Consider the following 26,092-nt stretch of genomic DNA (forward strand, 5'->3'; position numbering starts at 1 on the left):
GGGGCAGAAGTGCTACTGAGAGGAGATCGTTGTGTTTCTTCAGAGTGGGAGACAGCATATTTGCATCCTAATGGAAGTGATGCAGGAAAGAAAGAGAAAGTGATGATATGAGAAGAGGACAGAATCAGTGGTCCTCAAGTGGCGACAGGGTGGGGTCTGGTTGTGAAGAGCTAGTTGGAGGACATTGGAGAGGAGGGCACAGGCGCAGGTCTGCGGATGTGTGGGAGCTGTGAAAACTACTGCCAAGTGCTTTTCCAAAAGATTGCTGGTGCTCACACCACCCTCAGCAGTCTGTGAATACCCATCTTCCTTTATACTCCTCAGCACAGAGTCCATGTCCCTGTTCTTCCCTCCTGGGCACCCTGCTCCGCATTGACGGAGCTCGAGATCCCCACATCTACTCCACTGCTCCCCTTCCTCTCAACTTCCATCATTAGGCTCAGGGACCTTGGCCCTTTCCCTGTGTCCTGCCGTGAAAGTTCTGGTGCCTCTTTACCTTAAGTCGTCTCCTCATCTTTTGACTTACATGGACCATAACATTTTTAGTCATCAGCCTGGTGACTTAGCTTTATCAACATTGTATTATGGGAAGGAGAGGATTCTATAAAAAAGCAAGTATTGCCTGTGGGCCCCACTGTTTTAGGTCACTGGCTAGCCTCTGGTTTGGCTGTCCTTGGGTCAGATGCCTCCCTGCTGCCAGGGGAGCACAGGTGATGGTGATGGATGAGGGTCTGATGATGGGGACCTCCCCATCAGCAGAGGTGTGGGTGACTTGGGGCTTGTCGGGTGTGCAAATGGCTACTTTGGATTTGCTTCAGGTCACTTAATTTTGAGATGCTACCTACCTATTCCATGTGTTGTCTCTGAATAAAAGCCACTTTCAGCCTCTGTTCTATTTAAGTAGTTTTATTTTTCTCTCTGGTCATTTCTGGGTATTGCTGTAAAGACTGTTAATACCTTATGCAAAATGACTGGTTACTGTGATTTTTCAGGACCTTCAGAGATTGAAGGGTTACAAACTGCAGTGTGAGAAGTTAGTAGGCCTTTGATACCAACTTTTTATTTGACCTTAGTAGATTAACTTTACTTTAAAGATTGGCAAAGAACGGTATGTTAGAAATACATGTAAGTCTGCTGCTATTAATAAATTCAAGCTGTTTTGCCCTTTTGCTGTATGGAGCCTGAATGTAGAGACTTGAAGTATTTTGTAGATATTTGTGCTGTCCCATGACAGAGCAGGGATATGAAACTTGCCCTGGCATCCAGACATGTTCTGAGGCTGGCTCAGATATTTGTTTTCTTCTGGATAAGTAGCATCAAAACAAATAGTAATTATATTATTTAATAGACTTAAAACACGGCAACTACATTTGTATAGGAAAAACCACATTAGTAACATTACATGGAGAAAAGCATTTTATGTAACTATAGTTCCAGCAAATACCACTATGCCTTCATTAATGCCTTAAAACCATCTTATTTACATCTGTAGAACCACTGGCCATTTAATAGGGCAATTCAGGAGCAATCATTAAAAACAGTTGCAGTTTTCATTAGGTTTTCTCTGTTTATTCTAATATGTAAACTGAAATTAAAAGTAAATCCTTCAGAGTTCATTCTTTAAAAAAAGTAAGTCCTAAGGAAAACTGTTATATTAGCTATTTAAAAGGATGCTGTAATAATGTAGAATCAGTCACTGTTGAATTTTATTGAGTTTCCATGGAACAGCCTTGAAATTATAAATTGCTAGATATTTACTCTGTAAGATTACAGAAATTATTTATCACAGAGCCTTAAATACTTAAGGTAATTTTGTGCCTAACTCATGATATGATTGTTACCAATCTCTTTGTAACCACTGAGAAGGAGGTTTAAGTATTAATGTTAGTAATTGCTCTCCAGGCAATGCCTTTTGCTCAGAGAACCTGCATATGCTTTGGGAAAGCTGAGTTCAGGAAAGAAAGGGTGAAAAGGGCACAGGTATTTTAGTGACTACACATAACAGTGTTCCCTGGACTTGAGTGCAGGTAGCTAATAAAAGATCATGTATAGGCTGGGCTTGGTGGCTTATACCTGTAATCCCAGCACTTTGGGAGGCCGAGGTAGGCAGATCACGAGGTCAGGAATTTGAGATCAGCCTGACCGACGTGATGAAACCGCATCTCTACTAAAAATACAAAAACTAGCCGGGCATGGTGGCGCAGGCATGTAATCCCAGCTACTCAGGAGGCTGAGGCAGGAGAATTGCTTGAATCCAGGAGGCGGAGGTTGCAATGAGCTGAGATCACGCCACTGCACTCCAGCCTGGGCAACAGAGCGAGACTCTGTCTCAAAAAAAAAAAAAAAGAAAGAAAGAAAAGGATCATATATAAAAATGCAGAAAATTGGCTGGGCGCCATGGCTCACGCCTGTAATCCCAGCACTTTGGGAGGCCGAGGCGGGCAGATCACGAGGTCAGGAGATCGAGACCATCCTGGCCAACGTGGTGAAACCCCGTCTCTACTAACAACGCCTGTCTGGGCGTGGTGGCTCCTGCCTGTAGTCCCAGCTACTTGGGAGGCTGAGGCAGGAGGATCATTTGAACTCGGGAGGCAGAGGTTGCAGTGAGCCAAGATGGCGCCACTGCATTCCAGCCTGGTGACAGAGCGAGACTCCATCTCAAAAAAAAAAAACAAAAAAAAACAAAAAAAAACAAAAAAAAACAAAAAAAAAACAAAACAAAATTAAAAAACAGAAAATTGTGATTGAGGTAGGCAAGACAAAGTGTGTATTATTGATTTGGACTAGACATTTCAGTTCCCTTAGCATTTACTGGGCGCCTACTGGTTGCTGGGTGCATTATGGACATTCATAATGTTGAGTGTCTAATGGGAAGATGGACATGTGAAAGATAATTTTGTAGTATAATGAATATATGATAGTCTATAGGAAGTGTAGAAGTTGGCCAGGCGCAGTGGCTCACACCTGTAATCCCAGCATTGTGAGAGGCCGAGGCGGGTGGATCACGAGGTCAGGAGATCGAGACCATCCTGGCTAACATGGTGAAACCCCGTCTCTACTAAAAATACAAAAAATTAACCAGGCGTGGTGGCGCGCGCCTGTAATCCCAGCTACTTGGTAGGCTGAGGCAGGAGAATCACTTGAACCTGGGAGGTGGAGGTTGCACTGAGCCGAGATCGTGCCACTACACCCCAGCCTGGGTCACAGAGCAAGACTCCCTCTCAAAAAAAAAAAAAGAGTGTAGAAGTTGTACAGGAGTTGTAGTAATTAGCTGCGTGTGACACGTATTGATTGAGGGGTAGGGAGCAAAATTCACAGAATAAAAAAGTTACCATAGTGGGGTTTGAAGGGATGCCTCGCAGTTGTCTTGTAAAGGAAAGGCGGGGAGATTGGTGTTTTAGGGAAGCAAGCAGCAAGTATGAAGGCAGGAAGAGATAAAGCCACATAGTTGGTTGGGGCGGGAGTGTGGAACTGTAAGGAGTTTCAAGTGGGTGATTTTGCAAGAACACACTGACCAAGGGCCTGGTGTATCCTGCTTGATCCTTTGCTAAGGACTTGATCTTTTTAGGCAGCAGGAACAATCGAAGGGTTTAAGGCAGAGAATGTTCTGGTCATAGGTACAGTGTGAGGGGGTTTTGACAGGAGATGGAGGGCATGTGGGGAGCAGACAGCCCTGAAGGCCGGTCGGCAGGAGGTGGCAGCGTCACCAGCACGGGGCCTTTGTTGTGTCTCCTGCATTAGCCTTCATAGGGCGGTCTAATCTGGGTTGTGCTGCTGTTACCCGAGAGGATATTGCTTTTACTGTGTTTTTACCCTAAGATGACCTTTTTTCTTCATGTTTATAAGAAGTTTATCTGTAAAGTATTTTTAGTAAATCTGGGTTTTCATGTTTAATTTGGAATTTCATTTTGGAAACAAATTTCAAAACTAGAATATAAGCCTAGCAAGAAAACAAATGCTATTATGATTTAATGTCTTTTATGATACACACACACCTCCCACCCCCATGCACACAGGCCACAGTCACTGGGTGGTAGAAAATCAGTTTATTCAGAAAAGGTAAAATACATCATAGATGGTAGAACTCAGCTGTTAGTAGTGTTCCCAAAGTGTTTTCAGCAATACTGCCATCTTAGCCATATGTCCGTATTCTCCTATGCAAAAATTTCTGGGTTATCTTGGTCCCTTACATGGATATATATACACATTTTATATATTTACATATTTCATCTATGTGTTTGTAGGATTTGGGGGATGATACTAGTAAAATGTTCATTCTGGTACATATATATAATTTTTTTTTTTGAGATGGAGTATTGCTCTGTTTGCCCAGGCTGGAATGCAGTGGCGCGATATCCGCTTGCCGCAACCTCCGCCTCATGGGTTCAAGTGATTCTCCTGCCTCAGCTTGAGTAGCTGGGATTACAGATGTACGCCACCACACCCGGCTAATTTTTTGTATTTTTAGTAGACACGGGGTTTCACCACGTTGGCCAGGCTGGTCTTGAACTCCTGACCTCTTGATCTGCCTGCCTCGGCCTCACAGAGTGTTGGGATTACAGGTGTGAGCCACCGCGCCCAGCCTGCTACATTTATTTTTTAAAAATATCAATGTAACTAGATTTCTGCTTCCAAGCAAGAGGTAGTAACTAGAAGTGGATTTATCTTCCTGTCTCAAACAGTGAAACAAAGGACCAAAAAAATGTACCAAGTAGTAGTTTTCCAACATTGGCCCACAGGCAGGCAGGACAGTGATCCCTGAGAGAAGAAGAATAACCGCGGCAAGCTCCAGCCTTGCCCAGGCTTCCTGCCTGGAGAGAGTCTGAAGGCTAGGACTTGGAGAGCTACCCAGACCGAGTCTGAGGATCTCCTTGATTGAGGAGGCTGAGTTGAGACTTTGGGGAGGCCAAAGTAAATTTGCAGGGCAGAGTACCAGAGAGGAGAGAGCTGCAAAGAGGGGAAGGAAGAGCTCTGCATAGGGTTCTCCCCAAGCCCAGCTGAGGGCGCATAAGCACATGCCTGTGGGGAAGCTCTCTGCGCCTGGGCTAGCACCCTGGAAGTGAGGAGCGGGACAAACCTTGCAGCTCACACAGGGCCAGGAGCAGTGTGTGTTCCCACCAGCCATTGTGGGAAAATCTTACAACCTGCAGGACCCTGGGTGGCAGCTTAGGAGGATATTGCCTCAGTTGTGGGTAAGAGGAAAGGCGTTCTGATGCTGCCTTACAGAGCCTACAAGCCCTGAAAGGACCAGACTCTTCCCAAACAACCCTCCTATGGCCCATGACGAAGCTCAGATACTGAAGGAATGAAAAAATACCCAGCACCTGACGCTTCATACTTGTCCCTAGCTCTTCTCCTCCTCTCACACCTCACAGCTGGCTCCTTCACAGCCTTATCCACTTCCCTTCCTGCAGCCCTGGTCCAAGCTGCTGCTGTCTGGCTCCTGAACTGCAGATAGTCGTTTCTTCCCATTGTCCCATCCCATCTCTCTCTGCACGCAGCCTCAGAGTCACTCCTTGACTTCAGTGGCCCTCAGCTCTCCCCCATCTCTCCTTCTGCTCTTGTCAGCCCCATGCCAGCCACTGGGCTCCCCACAAGGTACAGCCATGTCGGCTTCGGGGGTCTCCTCAAGGAGGCCCTCACTGTCCACCGGGTTAAAGGGTACAGATCTTCTTTGCTGTTATGTTTTTCTCCTTATCACTATTTAATTAGTTAATTTTTTCATGTATTTGTCTTATTTATTGCCTTTGTCTTTGACAGTTTTCTTCACCATTGTGCCCTCAGTGCCTGGACCAGTCCCTGAGCATGTGATGGGCTCAGTAAATCCTGGATGACTGGTGAATGTACAGGAGCTGAGCTGTGCGCTCTCTGGTCATTTCTGGCTCTTAACATTATGATTTTAGGCTTGGGGACCTTTGGGCCTGTAGAGCCCAGCATCTCATTCTGTAATTAAAAGGGCAAGCCAGAAAGGTCTGATGGGTATGGCTGTTCTGCCAGTGATGGGAGCTGTTTTCTAAGACCTGAGGAAAAGAGATGGCTTTATATTGGGGTAAATCAGTGTGCCTTTTTTTTTTTTTAATTGTCGTCATTTAGGCTTTTGGGATTTGTTGGTATGGAAAAATACATGGATTCTCATGGTACTCGGTGGTTTGAGTAGTCTGGCGTTCTCTAGGACACTGTGGGGAGGTAGGACGCAGTTGTCTGCCCCTGTGCCCCAAACATTCAGCTCAGGATGGCTGCTGAGCTGGGTTTGGGAAAACTCACAACCCTGTGGATGTAACAGGAGTCAGCAGTTTTGATCACTGGTTCATGGAAACATGTGAGAATATATATGAACATCTTTTGAGTCTTGCTGGTATTGTCATTCATTCTTTCAATCACTAATTCATTCATTTATACATTCAGCCCCTTGTTTAAATATGTGCTTCCTGCCGGTCAGCAGGAAGTCTTAAGAATGGAGCCTGGGGTCCAAATGAGAGCCCTCAGTGGCTGTTCAGGGGCCAATCCGTTATGTACAGTGGGTCCTTTTGAATACCGGTGGTGGGATGGGGAGACAGCTCGAGGCTGTGGGAAGAGCTACAGGTCTAGCCGGCCTTGGAGAAGCTTCTGGGTGGAGATGGAGACTGAAAAGCCAGAACAGCGTCAGCTGGGTCCACTCTCTTCCCACCTGGCATGTCTTGCAGCAAGGACACCCTACACGGCAGGAGAGACTAGCGGGGGTTCTCTCACCTCCACCCCACTGTGTGCCCTTTTTCTGGCTGCCTCTGGAAGGCCAGGCGAGGCTTCCCTTTGCCCTGCTCCCTGGGAGTGCCTCCCTCCAGCCTCTCCTCAGGGTTCGAAGGGGCTTCCTCCTAAGGTGCAGAGGCAGCCCTGTGTGAAGGACCCGTCTTAGGATTGGGTTGATACGGGTTAAAAATCCTGTGTCTCCCCCGACACACACACACTTGCTGGTCTTGGGACTTTAACCCCATTTCCAGTTGTGTGAGACTCAGTTTCTTTCTTTTTCTTTTCTTTTCCTTTTTTTTTTTTTTTTTTTTTTTTTTGAGACTTAGTCTTGCTCTATTGCCCAGGCTGGAATGCAGTGGCGTGATCTTGGCTCACTGCAACCTCCACCTTCCAGGTTCAAACGATTCTCCTGCGTCAGCCTCCTGAGTAGCTGGGATTACAGGTGCACACCACCACGCCCAGCTAATTTTGTGTTTTTAATAGAAACAGGGTTTCACCATGTTGGCCAGGCTGGATTTTTCTTTCTTTTTTTTTTTTGACACGGGGTCTTGCCCTCTCACCCAGGCTAGAGTGCAGTGGCACGATCACAGCTCACTACAGCCTCGACTTGCTGGGTTTTAGCAATCCTCTCACCTCAGCCTCCCTAGTAGCTGGGACTACAGGCACGCACCACTATGCCTGGCTAATAGTTGGATTTTTTGCAGAGGCGAAGTCTTGCTATGTTACTGAGGCTGGTCTCAAACCTCTGAGCTCAAATGATCATCTCACCTCTGCCTCCCCAGGTGCTGGGATCACAGGCGTAAGCCACTGTGCCCAGCCTTCAGTTTCTTTTTCTGTATTTGTGTTTTAAAGGCTAATTTTATTTTTTTTCTGATAGAGTGGGTGGTTATCTTTTGAGAGGTTTTAAGGTATAACAATCTTGCCTTTTCCTCCTACCTCTAAGGCCTCTTCCCCTTGCCCCACATTGTAGGACCTATTTGAAAATGCAGATGTTTATTTACATCAGGTGATAAGAGATGAGCTCAGCATCATTACTGCTGGGCCTGGAAGGGCGTCTGGGCCTTGGATGTGCAGCTGCCATCAGCTCCCTGTTTATCTTGAATCTGGAATTTGGACAGCCGACCTCAAAGATGGTTTGCATCTGCAGACACACTTAAGCCAGAATTGCCATCTTGAATCTGAGCCCTGGTGTGCAGATGCCTCTAGAATAGTAGTTTCAGACTTCGTTGGTGGTAACCAGTTCTGGTAAACAGTCTGAAAATTGAGGCTGACAGTTTCTAGCATGTGGTGGAAAAGTAATACAGAAGTCAAGGTGAAGGGGTTAATTTTGACAATTTTCTAACTCGTACTAAGATAAGATTTTCTTTATGGCACTATTTAAAGTATTACGAGTTTCTAGAACATTAGGTTTAGTTTTATTCAATACATTTCCTATTTTATGTTTCTGTATATAAACATACACATGCATTTTAGTTTTAGAACTATACATATATTTTAATATTCTTGGCTTTGTAGATGAGGTTTTGAAAATAGAATTTTTTTTTTCTATTCCAGACTCCTTTTAGTTTTGGCATGAATCATAGGACACCACCCTACCCTGCTGGGGATTATTGTCTTCTGTGCAGAAGTGAACGGAAAGACTCATCATTCTTAGAGAGTGGAATTAAGACTGCGAGCAAATTGGCCCTTTCCATGGCTCCCAAGGGCAACAGCGTGCTGCACCTGCCACTGTGGGTGTGCCCGGACTGCCGCAGGACCGTGGAGAAGGAGGAGAGGCATGGCGGCCTTGACCAGCCAGTGGTGAGTGGCTGCCAGCACAGGCAGCGCAGGGCGTTGGCTCCCCCCGCCCAGGTTATGGGGTAACTGGCAGTGAAAGAAATGGATTTGCTTTTGCTTCAGGGGGCACTCCCTCCTGCACCACCTTCTAGTCTGTGTCTCCTGGTACGTTCCTCCTGGTCTTCCCTGGCCACACTGCAGTAGGTGGCAGGACACCTGCCCTCCTTGTCTGGGCACAATTCAGTCATCAAGCTATGTGACCCTGAAGGGTGATTTTTGGCTTTGAGCTTAGTATTTCTTTGGTGGTACAGTTTCTTGAAAAGGGAGTACAATTTTCATGTGTTTAGTTCTCAACAATTCGACATGCAGGTAATTCTTTACGCGATGCTCTTAAGCCTCACCTTCCCTTTTACTTATTTGTGCTGCTTCAGCCTCTTCGAGGCCACAGCAGGCTTGGCTGGGAAGACCGCACCCTTACTCTTATCTTTGACCTGATGGAGTTTTGGTGGGCCCTTGTTCCGGGCAGGCTTTCACATGTACTGTTTGGGTTCTGGAAGGAGTTGGCTTTTGCAACTATTTGAGACCCCACATTCTAGGCCTCTTCTGTGCCCTTTGATTTCTGCTTGAAAGCGGCTAATTATTTTCTGAGCTCTTCTCTTCCTTCTGATACCTTGCTATGTGCAGCCAGGAAACGTGTGCATTCCCTGCTCCTCTGTTTTCTCCTGCAGAACTGCCTTGGGGGAGTCCTGGTGACAATCTGAAGAGCGCATCCCCACTGCCTGGTGTGGGTTTCCATCTTTACTGGCCTTGGAGGCAAGCCCCATCTCCAGGGCCAGTTTCTATCCTTGGGGTCTCATTGTCAGAATTACTTTCTCACTCGGCCCCTCCCGCATGTCCCGCTTTCCTGCTGTAATTCTCTTCCTAGCACTTATTTCTAACATACTATGTATTTTACTTACTCATTTGGTTTGCTTTCTTCTTCATTAGAATATAAACTCTACAAAGACAGCTATTTTTATGGTTTTCTTTGTGTGGTTTTTTTGTTTGTTTTTTTACCAATACCATTTTCTTTGCTTTTTGTGGTGGTTGGTTTGTTTTCTCATTAAACTTTATCAGCTCTTCTTCCGACTCCAGCCCTGCTCTTGTATTTTAGCCTGCCTCTGCCCTTGGGAACAGGCTTCTGCTGTTTGCCCTGGTCCAGAGGCCAGCGGAAGTGCCTATGGTTCCCTGCAGTGCGTCTTGCCTGCGTTGGAGGAGGATCTCATTTCCCAGCCCCCGGCTTGTCTTGGTAATGGATAGTTTGTCAGATGAGCCATTCTCTCCTCACCAGAAACAGTGACCTTGGGAACAGCAGAGGTGTAGTGTTGGCCTGTGTTTGTGGATTCGGACCAGCTGTTGCTTTGTAGGTCAGCCTCTTTGTTGGAGCTGGCCTTTAAAAAAATAACATGATTTACCTTCCATTAAGATTCACTCTTTTTTTACTTAAAAAATGTTCACTACCACAGCTAAGCTACAGAACATTTGCATCACCCCATAAAATCCCCTTGTTCCCCTTGGTAGTCACTTCCCTTCCCCCGTCCTAGCCTCTGGTAACCACTCACCTGAATTTTTTTTTTTGAGACAGAGTCTCGCTCTGTCACCCAGGCTGGAGTGCAGTGGCACAATCTTGGCTCACTGCAACCTCCGCCTCCCGGGTTCAAGCAATTCTTCTGCCTCAGCCTCCCCAGTAGCTGGGACTACAGGCACGCGCCACCATGCCCAGCTAATTTTTGTATTTTTGGTAGAGATGGGGTTTCACCATGTTGGCCATTATGGTCTCGATCGTGATCCGCCCGCCTCTGCCTTCCATAGTGCTGGGATTATAGGCATGAGCCACCGCGCCTGGCCTGACCTGATTTTTGTTCCTACAGTTTTGCTTTTTCCAGAGTGTCACATATACTTCTGTAACTTGCATAATGCTTTTGAGAGTTACCCAAAATGTTGCATGCATCCGTAGTTTCTCTTTTTTATTGAGTAATTTTACAGATAAACCAATTTATGCATTCACCAATTAATTGATGGATGTTTGTGTTGTTCCCACGTTTGGGCTATTTTGAAAAAAGCTGCTATGAACATTATTTTTCTTCTGTGGACATCCTTTTTATGTGTTGCTGGATTGATTTGCTAAAGTTATGTTAATGATTTTTGCATCTGTGCTCATGAAGGCTGTCTGTAGGCCTCTTGTCTTACAGTGGCCTTCGGGGTCTCATAAAATGAGTTAGAATGTGTTCCTGTTTCTTCTCCTTTCTGGAAGACTGTGTTAGAATTGGTATTATCATCTCTTCCTTAAACGTTATTGGTTCTTGCTTTCTGTTTCTCTTGTTCTGTTTGGTCAAATGCCAGACAGTGTGCAGAGAGCATCAGGCTGAGGTTGTTTCCTGTGTCCTGTTGTGCACCTGGGAGGCCAGGTCAGTGCATTTGGCCTCAGCTGGGCTGTCTCTAGCACTGTGCGTGCTCGTGTGGGCCTGTAGAGGGGAGTCTCTCTCTACTTCCTCCTTGGCAAGGTCTCCGATGGTGGCATCTTCTCAGTTCCCCCCTCTAGCCTGACTCTTGGGCAGCTCTGTGCTCACGGCCTTGGGGGCAGCTTTCCCAGCGAGCCCACCTCTGCCCGGTGGCAGCCAGACTCTGCCTTGTATCTGCAGGGGTCTGACCGGCCCCGTGTCTTGTGCTGGTCCTGGCCTGTGTGTGGCACACGCCTTTCTCCAGGACAAGGAGAAAGGCATGTTTCCTTCCTCTCTGCTAGTGGATTAGCTGGAGACTTGGGTGCAGGTCTCCTGGGAATGAGTGGGAACATTCGTTTTGGGGCTTTCCAGGGGTTAGACTCCCACACTTGACACTCTCAACCTTTCAGAATTTGTTTAAAGTTAAACTGTTTTTTTTTTTTCTAACCACTTTTATGGCCTCCTTCCACTTTCCTTCCTCTGTCAAAGGTGAAACAGTAAGTGTGTCCCCTTCTCCCTGGAGGGGCTGCTGCACTTTGTTGTGTAGTTCCCTCCGGCAGCCTGGTCACTTCGGCTCTCTGATGGCCCAGAGATAGGATTTTATCAATTGTCCTGCTCTGTCTCTGGTCAGGGCTCTGGTCAGGGCTCAGAGTGCACGGCTCTCCTGCAGCTTTCTGCATCCAGAGGGGAAGTGGGGCTGAATTGCTGTCTTCTAGATAAGCATTCTGTTATCAGCAGTTGTAGGAGAATATTGGTGGGAATTTATCTTAACATCTTGCCTGACAGTTGCACGTTGCAAATTTCTCTGGAGACCTCTTCTTCCAAGATTGACCCATCCTAGCATCACGTCCTAGACATAGTCGTGCCTGGAAACCTAAGAAATCTCCATTTCAAACTTTCATCTTGATCATTGTCTGTCTTTGTAGCTCACTTGCTTGTCTTCTCTTGCCATAGTTTTTTTTTTTTTTTGAGACAGAGTCTTGCTCTGTTGCCCAGGCTGGAGTGCAGTGGTGCAATCTCAGCTCACTACAACCTCACTTCCTGGGTTCAAGAGACTATCGTGCCTCAGCCTCCCGAGTAGCTGGGACTATAGGCATGCGCCATCACACCTGGCTAATTTTTTTTTTTTTTTAGAGACACAGTCTCGCTCTGTCACCAGGCTGGAATGCAGTGGTGCGATGTTGGCTCACTGCAACCTCTGCCTCCTGGGTTCAGGTGATTCTCATGCCTCAGCCTCCCGAGTACCGGGGACTATAGGCGCGCAACACCACACCTGGCTGATCTTTGTATTTAGTAGAGACAGGGTTTCGTGATGATGGCCAAGCTGGTCTCAAACTCCTGGCCTCAAATGATCTACCTACCTTGGCCTCCCAAAGTGCTGGGATTACAGGCGTGAGCCACTGCGCCTGACCTGCCATAGTTCTTTGACCTCATCCATCCCTATCAGTCCATGGATTCCATTCCTGTTAGGTTTATCACGTCTCCCCGACCTCACTCCTAGGAGCCTGAGTTCCCGGACTTGGCACTGTGGCTCTTCCGTGGCTCTCAGGCAAAGGCCCTGAACTTTTTTTGGTTATGCTGGTCCAGCCCTGTCTCTTCCCTCCATGTGGCAGAATATTCATGGAGAAAATTGCTGGCCTCAGTTTACTGCTTCCTCTTCATAACTTCATGACTGCAAACCATGCATGGGCATCTAGTGCGTTTTTCTGGCTTAAGTACCTCCCCAAACTCCTTGGCAGGAACCCTTCCTTTTCCTTGCTTCTTAGACTACGTGTACCCTCTTTACCCACCCCTTGCTCAGCTCAGCTATTGACCTTCGTGCTTCAGGGAGAAAATCAAAGTTAACACCTCCCCTGTATCACCCCCAAACCCCCATAGCTGAGGGCATTTTCTCCTCTCTTTCCTCTCCAAGGCCCACCCCCACTGGGCTTTCAGGTGCCCATCTGTTTTCATCTTCTTCAAGACTTTGTCGCTTTGATTATTGTTTTCTTCTGCCTTGGCCCATGACCCATGGAATGCAAATACTCTGGGGCTACCCATTCATGAATGACCCGCCTTTGGCCTCACCTCCCCTTCACAGCCATGTATGTCTCTAGGTAGATTTTAAAGTTGTGGTTCAATTTCTTTAATGGTTAAAATCTTGTCAGGTTAGTTTTGGTAAGTTATATTCTTAGAAATTGTCAAAGTTGCCCACCAGCGTGGCACATGCCTGTAGTTGCGGCTACACAGGAGGCTGAGGCAGGAGGGTCGCTTGAGCCCAGGAGTTCTGGGCTGTTGTGCGGTATGATAGTGCCACTGTACTGCAGTCTGGGCAGCACAGTGAGACCCCGTCTCTTTTAAAACAAGAAAAATTGGCAGAGTTACTGGTATAAAGTTCTGTGTAATGGTCTCTTTTCACTTCTTACCTGATTTGTAGATTTGACTTTTTATTTCTTCTTCTTCTTTTTTTTTTTTTTTTTTTTCCTGAGATGGAGTTTCTCTCTGTCGCCCAGGCTGGAGTGCAGTGGTGCGATCTCAGCTTACTGCAACCTCTGCCTCCCGGGTTCAAGCGATTCTGGTGACTCAGCCTCCCGAGTAGCTGGGACTGTAGGCGCGTACCACCACACCCAGCTAATTTTTTTGTATTTTTAGTAGAGATGGGGTTTCGCCATGTTGGCCAGGCTGTTCTCTAACTCCTGACCTCAGGTGATCCGCCCACCTCGGTCTCCCAAAGTGCTGGGATTACAAGCCTGAGCCACCATACCCGGCTACTTTTTTATTTCTCATATTTGTGCCTTCTTTTTTTTCTTTTAAACTAGTTTTGTTAGAAGTCTGTCAGTTTTGGCCCAGCACAGTGGATCACACCTGTAACCGTAGTCTTTGGGAGGCCGAAGCAGGAGGATTGCTTGAGGCCAGGAGTTCAAGACCAACCTGGCTAACATAGAAAGACTCTGTCTCTATAAAAAAAAAAAAATTATAAACCAAAAAAAAGTCTTGTCAGTTTTGTCTTTCCAAAGAAGCAGCTTTTAACTTTTAAAATACTTGTACTTTGTCTGTTTAATTAATTGTTGCTTTTTATTATTATTATTTTTAAGATAGATTCTCGCTCTGTTGCCCAGGCCGGAATGCAGTGGCGTGATCTTGGCTCACTGTAACCTCCACCTCCCAGGTTCAAGGGATTCTCCTGCCTCAGTCTCCTGGGTAGCTGGGACTACAGGCATGTACCACCGTGCCCAGCTAATTTTTGTATTTTTAGTAGAGACAGAGTTTTGCCATGTTGCCCAGGCTGGTTTCGAACTCCTGACCTCAAGTGATCCTCCTGCTGCGGCCTCCCAAAGTACTGGGTTGACAGGCGTGAGCCACTGCACCCAGGCAATTATTGCTATTTTATATACATACATGTGCTATATATTAATATTTGATTGGTTGATGCTATGGTGAATGTGATTTAAAAAAAAAAAATTTAGAGGCCCGAAAGAGAACAGTGCAAAGTTAGTTTCCTCTGGCTCTCTCTCTTTATCCTCTTTGCCTTCCCAGAGGCCTCCACTATTGGCAGATGCTTGAATCTTCCTCTAGAGATGTTCTGTTCTTTTTTTTTTTTTTTTTTGAGACAGAGTTTCGCTGTTGTCTCCCAGGCTGGAGTGCAGTTGTGTGATCTCGGCTCACTGAAACCTCCACCTCATAGGTTCAAACGATAATCCTGCCTTAGCCTCTGAGTAGCTGGGATTACAGGCACGTGCCATCAACCCAGCTAATTTTTGCATTTTTAGTACAGATGGGGTTTCACCATGTTGGCCAGGCTGTTCTTGAACTCCTGACCTCAGGTGATCCACCCACCTTGGCCTCCCAAAGTGCTAGGATTAGAGGCATGAGGCTGGCCATGTTTTTCGTTTTGATGTTTTTGTTTTTGTTTTGTGACGGAATCTCGCTCTGTTGCCCAGGCTGGAGTGCAGTGGCGCGATCTCAGCTCACTGCAAGCTCAGCCTCCCGGGTTCACACCATTCTCCTGCCTCAGCCTCCCAAGTAGCTGGGACTACAGGCGCCCACCACCACGCCCGGCTAATTTTTTGTATTTTTAGTAGAGATTGGGTTTCACCATGTTAGCCAGGATTGTCTGGATCTCCTGACCTTGTGATCCGCCCGCCTCGTCCTCCCAAAGTGCTGGGATTACAAGTGTGAGCCACTGCACCCGGCCTTTTTTTTTTTTTTTTTTTTTTTTTTTGAGACGAAGTCTCGCTCTATTGCCCAGGCTGGAGTGCAGTGGCGCCATCTCAGCTCACTGCAGGCTCCGCCTTCTGGGTTCACGCCATTCTCCTGCCTCAGCCTCCTGAGTAGCTGGGATTACAGGCGCCCACCACCATGCCTGGCTAATTTTGTGTGTATATATATATGTATATATATATATTTTTTAGTAGAGACGGGGTTTCACCGTGTTAGCCAGGATGGTCTCAGTCTCGTGACCTGCCCACCTCGGCCTCCTGATTGCTGGGATTATAGGTGTGAGCCACCGCGCCTGGCTTTTTTTGTTTTTTTTTTTGAGATGGAGTTTCACGCTTGTTGCCCAGGCTGGAGTTCAATGGCGTGATTTCGGCTCAACGCAACCTCCGCCTCTTGGGTTCAAGCCATTCTCCTTCCTCAGCCGCCCTAGTAGCTGGGATTACAGGTATGCACTACCACGCCCAGCTAATTTTTTTTTTTTTTTTTTTTTTTGAGACGGAGTCTTGCTCAGTCACCCAGGCTGGAGTGCAGTGGTGCGATCTCGGCTCACTGCAAGCTCCGCCTCCTGGGTTCACACCATTCTCCTGCCTCAGCCTCCCAAGTAGCTGGGACTACGGGTGCATGCCACCACGCCTGACTAATTTTTTTTTGTATTTTTAGTAGAGACGGGGTTTCACCATGTTAGCCAGGATGGCCTCGATCTCCTGACCTCGTGATCTGCCCACCTTGGCCTCCCAAAGTACAGGTGTGAGTCACTGCACCCGGCCAATTTTCATTATTTTCTAGTTTTTATTATTTCTGTTTTCACCCGTGAATTATTTAGAAGTACGTGTAAGTATCCAAACACATATCTCTTGAATTATTATTATTATTATTTTGAGACGGAATTTCACTCTGTCACCCAGGCTGGAGTGTAGTGGCACGATCTTGGCTCACTGCAACCTCTGCCTTCTGGGTTCAAGTGATTCTCATGCCTCAGCCTTCTGAGCAGCTGGGATTACAGGCGTGTGTCACCATGCCCAGCTAATTTTTGTATTTTTAGTAGAGACGGGGTTTTACCATGTTGGCCAGGCTGGTCTCAAACTCCTGACCTCAGGTGATCCGCCCGCCTCACCCTCCCAACTTGCTGAAATTACAGGGGTGAGCCACCACGGCCAGCCACTTGAATTACTTTTAATCATGTTGACTTTTAATTTAATGCTGTTATAGTTGAAAATCATGGTCTGTATGATAGTGATTCCTTATTAATCACTGTATTTGCTGTATTTGCTAGTTCTAATACATAGTTACTTTTTTAAATTATTCTGTTTGTGCTGGAAAATAATGTTTTCTCTGGGTTTAGGTGGAAGGCTCAGGACCTCATTAATTGTGTTCTTAAATCCTTCTGTGTTTCCGTGGTTTTATTGCTTTTTTGGTGCTTAATCTGTCAATTTCTGAGTGTTATTTAAAATGTCCTACTATGAATGTGTCTTTTTCCTGTCTTCCTTAAAAAGTTTGTTTTGCTTTACATATTTCAAGAGTGCTGGGTAGAATACAGGTTGAAATTATTATTAAGTCTTTAAGTCTTGGCGTATCATTCCTGTTACTGCACGGACCCCATCTGTGGTCGTGCCTTTCTCCTGAAGGGCGTTGTTTTCTGTTTGTTTAGCTATGGGAGCTCCCTCCCATTCTTTTTTTTGCACATCTGCACATCCTTTTAATTTTGATTTCTTTGTGTTAGTCTGTTTAGGTGTTCTTATGCAGTATATATAGAGGTAGACTTTACGTGGTTTTAATTGAGAGTCTGCTTTTTTTCTTTTTTCTTTTTCCTTTTTTTTTTTTTTTTTTTTTTTGGTGGCAAGGCCTCTCTCTGTCACTCAGGCTGGAGTGCAGTGGTGCGAAAACAGCTCACTGCAGCCTCGACCTCCTGGGCTCAAGTGATTCTCCCAGCTTAGCCTCCTGAGTAGCTGGGATTACAGCTGCACGCCAACAGTCCTGGATGATTTTTTTTTTTTTTTTAAATTTTTTGTAGGGATGGGTCCCTACTGTGTTGCCCAGGCTGATCTTGAACTCCGGCGCCCAAGCAATCCTACCACCTTGGCCTCTCCAAGTGCTGGCATTACAGGTGTGAGCCACCATGCCCAGGCGAGAGTCTGCATCTTAATGGTGAAATCAATCCTCATCACTTACTGTAATGGTTAATATATGTGGGGTAATTTCTGCTACCATGCAGGTCAAAAATCAAGCGTTGCTGTTAACCCAGATCCCTTCTTGAACCCCTTCTAGTCATTACCCTCTTGCAGCAAGTTCACACTTGCCGGCTGCTCCTAGTCCTCACTCTTACTGTTCTTTGTTAGTTATATCACCTAAGCATCTACCCACAAATACTGTAGTACAGTTTTCCTGGTGTTTTGAATTTTACAGAAATGTAATCGTACTGTGTGTTATTTTATGTCTTACTTATTTTGCTCAGCATTATGTTTGAGAGTCATAAATCTTGTTTCTCTATTTTCATTGCTAGATGCCATCCTCCTTTGTGAACATGTTGCATTTTAGTTGTTTCCAAATCTTGCTGATTGTGGAGCACACATGACATTCTGTTGTCTATAAATAGAAGGAATTGCTGAGCCATAGGTGGTTTATATACTTGACTGATTCCATGTTAAGATCAGTAGCATGTTTTTAAATGAAAACTATTTTCCAAAAACAAGAATGGTTTAGTAAGTAGGGCCGGACACGGTGGCTCACGCCTGTAATCCCAGCACTTTGGGAGGCCAAGATGGGCGGATCACCTGAGGTCAGGAGTTCGAGACCAGCCTGGCCAACATGGCGAAACCTCGTCTCTACTGAAAATACAAAATTAGCCCGTCATGGTGGCACATGCCTGTAATCCCAGCTACTGGGGAGGCTGAGGCAGGAGAATCACTTGAACCTAGGAGGTGGAGGTTGCAGTGAGCTGAGATTGCACCACTGCACTCCAGCCTAGGCGACAGAGTGAGACTCTGTCTCAAAAAAAAAAAAAAAAAAAAAAAAAAAATGGTTTAGTAAGTAGAGTGGCCGTGTTTTGTATATTTTGCAAACCTCTTTTTTTTTTTTTTTTTTTTTTTGAGACAGTGTCTCACTCTGTCACCCAGGCTGGAGTACAGTGGCATAATCTCAGCTCACTGCAACCTCTGCTGCCTGGGTTCAAGTGATTCTCCTGCCTCAACCTCCCATGTTGCTGGGATTACAGGCGTTTGCCACTGCGCCCGGCTAATTTTTGTATTTTTGGTAGAGATGGGGGTTTCACCATCTTGGTCAGGCCGGTCTTGAAATACTGACCTCGTGATCCACCCACCTCTGTCTCCCAAAGTGTTGGGATTATAGGCGTGAGCCACCGCATCCGGCCTAACAAACCTCTTTAATATCTGAATGATAGAACAAAGCTGGTTTCTTATATCTGCCTCTGTGTGGAACCTGTTGTGATAGGTTGTTCTGATTGAAGTATTTGAAGAAATATTTTATTGGCTTTTTTAGAGAATTGTGGATATTTTTCTTTGATGCTGTACCAAACCATGACAAGTTAGTTTCTCAAGGGTTAGGTGTAGTGTAGAAGCTAAAACCAATCAGTGGCTTTTCCCTACACTGTTATGTGAAAGTCCATTGGTCTGTCTTGTCCTCTGAATGGATATCTTGCCCATGCGTGGCTTGTAACATCACATGTTGGTTATTTGTAAAGTATTGGTTTACTAAGGTAGACAGATTTTCCTGATATTAATACTTTTCATCATTATTTTTAAAAAATCATATTTGTTACAAAAAAATCATATTTGTTAATACCACCACTGATCTCATCAGAAAGTTCTTTAAATGTTGAGTTTTCAAGCCCACAGTGGCAGGTGAAAGTTTTCCAGAGTTCTAATTTTTGCTCAGAAAAATTATGATTATGAGAAAAGCTCAGATTTTATTGGTCACAAATAGTGCCAAATTGCCTTGAAGTGACGGACTCATTTTGTTCATTTTGGAAAATATCTGACAAATATCCAAGTCCAAATAACCATAGTTTGGCCCATCAGTCACTTTTTGAAGTAAAATTGACATTTCACAGGTGAAGGGCCATTCATCTCACAATGCACAGTGAGATTCCTCGAGGCGGACTCTTCCTGGGGCGTGCCGGAGAAATAAATGCTCTGTGTATACTTCCCACTTCGTCACGCAGAATATTCAGAAGACTTGTGCTCAGGGGTTGAGATTTATGCAAAATAATTATTTTTATTGCATCAAGGACATTCTTAAGTGGAACTGGCTTTTTTCCCGCCTCACAGCTCTGAAGTGTGTGGCAGTGAAGAATGCAGCAGCCACTAGCATGCTTTGCTCCTGCTGTCTTCGTCCTTGCATTGGTGTTTCACTCTTTTCCCCACCATTGTTTTTTTCCCTGTCAGTGTGAATGTCAGCACAGTGAAAAAGGCAGAGGACATTTTGGTACAAATTTGAAAATAGTTTTGACTCGTGGGCCTGCTGAAGGGTGTTAGGGTGAAAATCCTATTTTGCTAGCCATTAGTAGTTAACCACAGATTTCTTGAAACTTGCTCAACTTTTTAATATCTGTCTGCTGATACATATTTAACATAGGTGTCAACCAGATTTGTTTTTAGTATTTGGAAAATAATGCTTTCCCTTCTAATTCTTCATTATAGCTTTAACACTGAAATTTGTCAGAGAACTTAGTTAATTATCAATGATATGTTCAGGTTGGCAACTAGGCTTATAGCATGGCCTTACCCTCGCTGCGGCTCTAGGCTATGCTGGACCATCTGAATGGGGTCCTCGGACCACACTTTGAGAACCACAGCTCTGTTGGGTTGTCTTTTTCTTATTGACTTGTGGGATTTCTTTATATACACTCAGTAGCAGCTCTTTATTGGTTGTATGTGTTGCAGATATTGCCTGTTTCTTTTTTGTCTGTTTTTCACTATGTGATGGTGTCGCTTTATGAACACAGATTCTTTTCTTTTTTTAACCTTGAGATGCTACCAGGGCAGCCACTCACCACAGCCCCTGCTGGGGTGTGAATGTGCACCACGCACTTCACGTCCGGGTGTGCAGCATAAATTGCAGAGTGTAAGGTGAAGCCGGCCTGATTCACTCCCAGATTAGTGCTTCCACGATCTACTATATCTCCTTGTAGATTGATCTTAACCTGAAAATAAAAAAATAAAAATTTAAAATACCAAGAGGACTTCATTTTTCTTTTCTGTTTTCGAGACGGTCGGTCTCGCCCAGTATGGAGTGCAGTGGTGCAATCCTGATTCTCTGCAGCCTTCACCTCCTGTGTTCAAGCAACCCTTCTGCCTCAGTCTCCTGAGTAGCTGGGACTACAGGTGCGCACCACCATGCCTGGCTAATTTTTTTATTTTTAATATAGACGGGGTTTTGCCATGTTGCTCAGGCTGGTCTCAAACTCCTGGGCTCAATCAGTCTCCCTCTGTCGCCCTGGCTGGACCTCAGATGATCTGCCTGCCACGGCCTCCCAAAGTGCTGGGATTACAGGAGTGAGCCACTGCACCCAGCCAAATATGATAATGAGCCAGGGGTAGTGGGAAGCATATTTAGATCATGGGCGGGTCAGCAATATGCCCATGGGCTTTGCCACCAGAGTCCTGTGTCCTGGTGTGCCTCGGCACACTGTTTGCCATAGGCTTTGAGGAGAGTGTTGGTTGGTCTTAATAACATTCTATCTCGGGCCCAGAGGTAGCCCACTGAAGGAGAAATTCAGAGAAGAGAGGTGGGATGGCTGAGACATTTTTGCATAGACCTGCAAGGGGACAGGCCTGACTAAACAAATCTTGCTCCTTAATAGTCAGGACCAAGCCTGTGTTGAACTTAGCAATTTGGTTTCAGCTAATCATCGATCTCTCTCTTTAAAATAATGTTGTTAATTTGAATTTCACCTTTTTTTTTTTTTTTTGAGACAGAGTCTCACTCTGTCGCCCAGGCTGGAGTGCAGTGGTGCCATCTTGGCTCACTGCAAGCTCTGCCTCCCGGGTTCACGCCATTCTCCTGCCTCAGCCTCCCGAGTAGCTGGGACTACAGGCATCCACCACCACGGCTGGCTAATTTTTTTTGTATTTTTCATAGAGGTGGGGTTTCATCGTGTTAGCCAGAACGGTCCCAGTCTTGTGACCTTGTGATCCACCCGCCTCGGCCTTCCAAAGTGCTGGGATTACAGATCTGAGCCACCGTGCCTGGCTGAATTTCACCATTTTAAAAATATTTCACTTTAAACCACCTTGAGTTTTTACATTATATGAAGGCTAAAAGACATATTATGTTGCATTTTAACATTTGCATATGTTTAACAAAAATAGTTTTAGTCTGGTGGGAGATACGGTGAGGGGATGGCACTTTGGGGTAATTGTTTTTTCTTTAAAGGGCCCTGAACTCAAGCATCCTGTCATAAAGAAGACTACTCGGCAAGTAGTCTTAAGTTTCTATCTATTTTTCTGTTTTCAAGGCTGTTTTAGACTCCATTTTGATTATGGGCATTAGCAGTTGTCTTTATTCTCATATATCATATTATTAAAATGTAAGTTGCATTTTACACTAAGGAACTGGGTTCTCCAATAGTTATTATGCCCATAGATTAATCAAGGCATATAGTCCCAACTTAAGCCATTTAAGAGTTTGCTGGCGTAGGCCACCGTGCACGGCGGCCTAGGCCGATCACGCCTGTAATCCCGGCACTTTGGGAGGCCGAGGCGGGTGGATCATGAGGTCAGGAGATCGAGACCATCCTGGCTAACACGGTGAAACCCCGTCTCTACTAAAAATATAAAAAATCAGCTGGGTGTGGTGTTGTGCATCTGTAGTCCCAGCTACTCAGGAGGCTGAGGCAGGAGAATCCCTCTAACCCGGGAGGCTGAGGTTTCAGTGAGCTGAGATGGCGCTACAGCACTCCAGCCTAATGACAGAGCGAGACTCCGTCTTAAAAAAAAAAAAAGAGTTTGCTGGCTGGGCGCAGTGGCTCACTCCTGTAATCCCAGCATTTTGGGAGGCCGAGGCAGATGGGTCACCTGAGGTCAGGAGATTGAGACCAGCCTGGCCAACATGATGAAACCCCATCTCTACTAAAAATACAAAAATTAGTTGGGCTTGGTTGCGGGTGCCTGTAATCCCAGCTACTCAGGAGGCTGAGGCAGGAGAATCGCTTGAACCAGAGAGTTGGAGGTTGCAGTGAGCCGAGATCACGCCACTAAACTCCAGCCTGGCGACAGAGCGAGACTCTGTCTCAAAAACAAAACAAAACAAAAAAAACTCGCTAGTATTTGTCATTATCTTGAATTGTTACCCAATGGTTACTACGCCCATAGATCAATCAAGGCATATAGTCCCAACTTAAACCAGCCATTTAAGAGTTTGCTAGTATTGGTCCTTACCTTGAATGCTTGCCCTGTTGGGTTTTAGGTCATATTAGAAACGTACAGATTTCTTTGCAGTGAACTTCATGAAAGTAGTTGCTAATGTAATTTGTTGGAACTACTCAAAATTGCCAGATTGACTTGAGTTAGCCTTACAGAAAGATAAGCTGAGTGGTGATCTTTGGCTTTTTTCCTTTAGCATAATGCTTTTGAGAGTCATCTCTGTTGTTGCATGTAGCAATAGTTAATTCCTTTTATTTCTGGGTAATAATCCATTGTATGGATAAACCACAATTTGTTTATCCATTCATCAATAGAGAGACGTTTGTATTTTCCAGTTTGGGCTGTTATGAGTAGAGCTACTAGGAACATTTGAGTATCAGTCTTTTTTTTTTTGAGATGGAGTTTCGCTCTTGTCACCCAGGCTGGAGTGCAATGGCGCGATCTCGGCTCACCGCAGCCTCCGCCTCCCAAGTTCAAGCGATTCTCCTGCCTCAGTCTCCCAAGTAGCTGAGATTACAGGCATGCACCACCACGCCCAGCTAGTTGTGTATTTTTAGTAGAGACAGGGTTTCTCCATGTTGGTCAGGCTGGTCTCAAACTTACAACCTCAGGTGATCCACTCGCCTCCGCCTCCCAAAGTGCTGGGATTACAGGCATGAGCCACCGTGCCCGGCCGAGTATCAGTCTTTTAAGTGGATGCAATTTACTTCTCTTTGATAAACACCTGGGAGTGGAATTGCTGAGTCCTATAGGGTAAGTGCTTATACTGTTCTGCAGCCACGTATGAGAGGTCCAGTTGATCTTTATCTTTGCCAAGTGCTGGATATTGGCAGTCTTTACTTACAGCCATTCTAGTGGTTTGTAGTGTTATCCTTCATTATGGTTTTAATCTGCATTTTCTATTTATTTATTTATTTATTTATTTGAGACAGAGTCTCACTGTGTCACCCAGGCTGGAGTGCAGTGGCTCAATCTCGGCTCACTGCAGCCTCCACCTCCCAGGTTCAAGCAGTTCTCTTGTCTCAGCCTCCCATGTAGCTGGGACTACAGGCGCCAGCCACCATGCATAGTTAATTTTTTTTTTGTATTTTTAGTGGAAACGGGGTTTCACCATGTTGGTCAGTCTGGTCTTGAACTCCCGACCTCAGGTGATCCACCCGCCTCAGCCTACCAAAGTGCTGGGATTACAGGCGTGAGCCACCACGCCCGGCTTAATCTGCATTTTCTTAACGACTTGTTGAGCATCTTTTCATGTACCTATTTTCCATTTGTATCTCTTTGGAAAAGTGGCTGTTCAGATCTTCTGCTCATTTTTATTGAGTTGTCTTAATGAGTTGTGAGATATTTTTATATAATCTCAATACAAGCCCTTTATTAGACAGGCTTCACAAACATTTTCTCTCAGCGTGTGACTGGCATTTTCATTATACAGCACTGTCCTCTGAAGAGCAAAAGATTTATATTTTGATCAAATCCATTTTTTTTTTTTTTTTGAGACAGTCTCTCGCTCTTTTGTCCAGGCCGGAGTGCAGTGGCACTATCTCGGCTCACTGCAAGCTCCGCCTCCCGGGTTCACACCATTCTCCTGCCTCAGCCTCCCAAGTAGCTGGGACTACAGGCGCCCACCACCATGCCCGGCTAATTTTTTGTATTTTTAGTAGAGACAGGATTTCACCGTGTTAGCCAGGATGGTCTCGTTCTCCTGACCTCGTGTTCCGTCTGTCTCGGCCTCCCAAAGTGCTGGGATTACAGGCGTGAGCCACCGCGCCCGGCTCCAATTTGTGTTTCTAAATGATTTTGTGCCTTTGTGTTCCATGTAAGAAATCTTTGCTACTCAAGGTTATAAAGATTTTTTGCCCTGGCCGGGCCGTGGCTCACGCCTGTAATCCTAGCACTTTGGGAGGCTGAGACGGGTGGGTCACGAGGTCAGGAATTTGAGACCAGCCTGACCAACATGGAGTAACCCTGTCTTTACTAAAAATACAAAAATTAGCCGAGACGGTGGCGTGCACCTGTAATCCTAGCTACTCGGGAGGCTGAGGCAGGAGAATCACTTGAACCCAGGAGGTGGAGGTTGCAGTGAGCCGAGATTGCACCACTGTACTCCAGCCTGGGTGACAGAGTGAGACTCCATCTCAAAACAACAAACAAACAAAAAAGTTTTTTTTGCTTGTTTGTTTTTTTCTGTCTTAATAGTTTTAGCATATACATTTAGGTCTATGAGCCACCTTGAATGAAGCTTTTATCTGTTGTAAGGGTTAAGAGTCATCTTTTTTTGCATACTGATATCCAGTTGTTCAGAACTATTTATTGAAAAGACAATTTTATCTCATTGAATTACCTTGGGACCTTTGTCAAAAATCAGTTGGTTCTGTATGTATGGATCTATTATTGGATGCTGTGTCCCACTTTACATATATTCCTATTCCTTTGCCAGTACCATACTATCCTGATTCTTGAAGCTATTTATAGTAAGTCATGAAATTACATAGATGTCTACCAACTTTCTTCTTTTTCAAAAGTGGTTTGGATATATTAGATCCTTTGCATTGCTATGTAAACTTTAGAGCCAACTTGTCAGTTTCTACAGAAAAGCCTGTTGGGATTTTAACTGGCATTGTGTTGACTCTATAGATCAGTTTGGGGGAGAATTGAAACCTTAACAATATTGAGTCTTCAAGTCTATGAATATGGTATAACTCTTCATTTATTTAGATCATTTAAGTTTATTTTCAGCATTGTTTTGTAGTCAGTATATTAAAAACTTTAGTAGTCAGTATATTAAAAACTTTCCAGACAGGCACAGTGGCTCATACCTGTAATCCAGCACTTTGGGAGTTCTACGCAGGTGGATTGCTTGAGGCCAGGAGTTTAAGACCAGTTTGGGCAACATAGTGAGATCCTGGTTTTACAAAAAATAAATACATTTTCCCAAAGTATTTTATATTTTCTTGCTATTTTAAATATACTCTAAAAAGTTTCAATATTTGTTTATTGCTAGTACATAGAAATTCAGCTTTTTTTTTTTTTTTTTGGATATTGGCCATGTGTACTGTAAAAACTCATTTATTAGTTCTATGGGCCTTTTGGTAGGTTTCTTTTTTTTTTTTTGAGACAGAGTTTTGCTCTTTGCCCAGGCCGGAGTGCAGTGGCGCGATGTCGGCTCACCACAACCTCTGCCTCCTGGGTTCAAGCAATTATCCTGCCTCAGCCTCCCGAGTAGCTGGGATTACAGTCATGTGCCCCCATGCCTGGCTAATTTTGTATTTTTAGTATAGAGACGGGTTTCTCCATGTTGGTCAGGCTGGTCTCGAACTCCCGACCTCGGGTGATCCGCATGCCTTGGCCTCCCAAAGTGCTGGGATTACAGGCATGAGCCACCATACCTGGCCTTTTTTTTTTTTTTCTTTTTCTTTTTTTTTTGAGACAGAGTCTCGCTTTGTAGCCCAGGCTGGAGTGTAGTGGCACAATCTTGGCTCACTGCAACCTCTGTCTCCTGGGTCCCGGTTCAAGCAATTCTCTTGCCTCTCAGCT

At 45.2% G+C, this 26,092-nt stretch overlaps 1 protein-coding gene across 7 annotated transcripts in view, besides 3 other annotated features; it reads left to right on the forward strand.

Moving 5' to 3' along the window:
• The window catches only part of FAM193A (family with sequence similarity 193 member A), a 197,199-nt gene that overhangs the window by 52,429 nt on the left and 118,678 nt on the right, over positions 1–26,092 (forward strand). For all 7 annotated transcript variants that reach the window (NM_001366316.2, XM_047416341.1, XM_011513590.3 and 4 more), the window contains exon 2: positions 8,281–8,526. In NM_001366316.2, coding sequence (NP_001353245.1) covers positions 8,281–8,526 — 246 coding nt within the window. The remainder of the gene's footprint in view (positions 1–8,280; positions 8,527–26,092) is intronic.
• Positions 7,947–8,899: an enhancer, noted in NCBI's record as "H3K27ac-H3K4me1 hESC enhancer chr4:2597477-2598429 (GRCh37/hg19 assembly coordinates)". NCBI's record gives its function as "activates a minimal SCP1, AML or CMV promoter by ChIP-STARR-seq in naive H9 embryonic stem cells {active_cell/tissue: H9 hESC(naive)}" and the evidence as "EXISTENCE:reporter gene assay evidence [ECO:0000049][PMID:30033119]".
• Positions 8,900–9,851: an enhancer, noted in NCBI's record as "OCT4-NANOG-H3K27ac-H3K4me1 hESC enhancer chr4:2598430-2599381 (GRCh37/hg19 assembly coordinates)". NCBI's record gives its function as "activates a minimal SCP1, AML or CMV promoter by ChIP-STARR-seq in primed H9 embryonic stem cells {active_cell/tissue: H9 hESC(primed)}" and the evidence as "EXISTENCE:reporter gene assay evidence [ECO:0000049][PMID:30033119]".
• Positions 9,852–10,804: an enhancer, noted in NCBI's record as "OCT4-NANOG-H3K27ac-H3K4me1 hESC enhancer chr4:2599382-2600334 (GRCh37/hg19 assembly coordinates)". NCBI's record gives its function as "activates a minimal SCP1, AML or CMV promoter by ChIP-STARR-seq in primed H9 embryonic stem cells {active_cell/tissue: H9 hESC(primed)}" and the evidence as "EXISTENCE:reporter gene assay evidence [ECO:0000049][PMID:30033119]".

Source organism: Homo sapiens, chromosome 4 (genome assembly GCF_000001405.40).
Source record: "Homo sapiens chromosome 4, GRCh38.p14 Primary Assembly".
NCBI classification, from domain to species: Eukaryota; Metazoa; Chordata; class Mammalia; order Primates; family Hominidae; genus Homo; species Homo sapiens.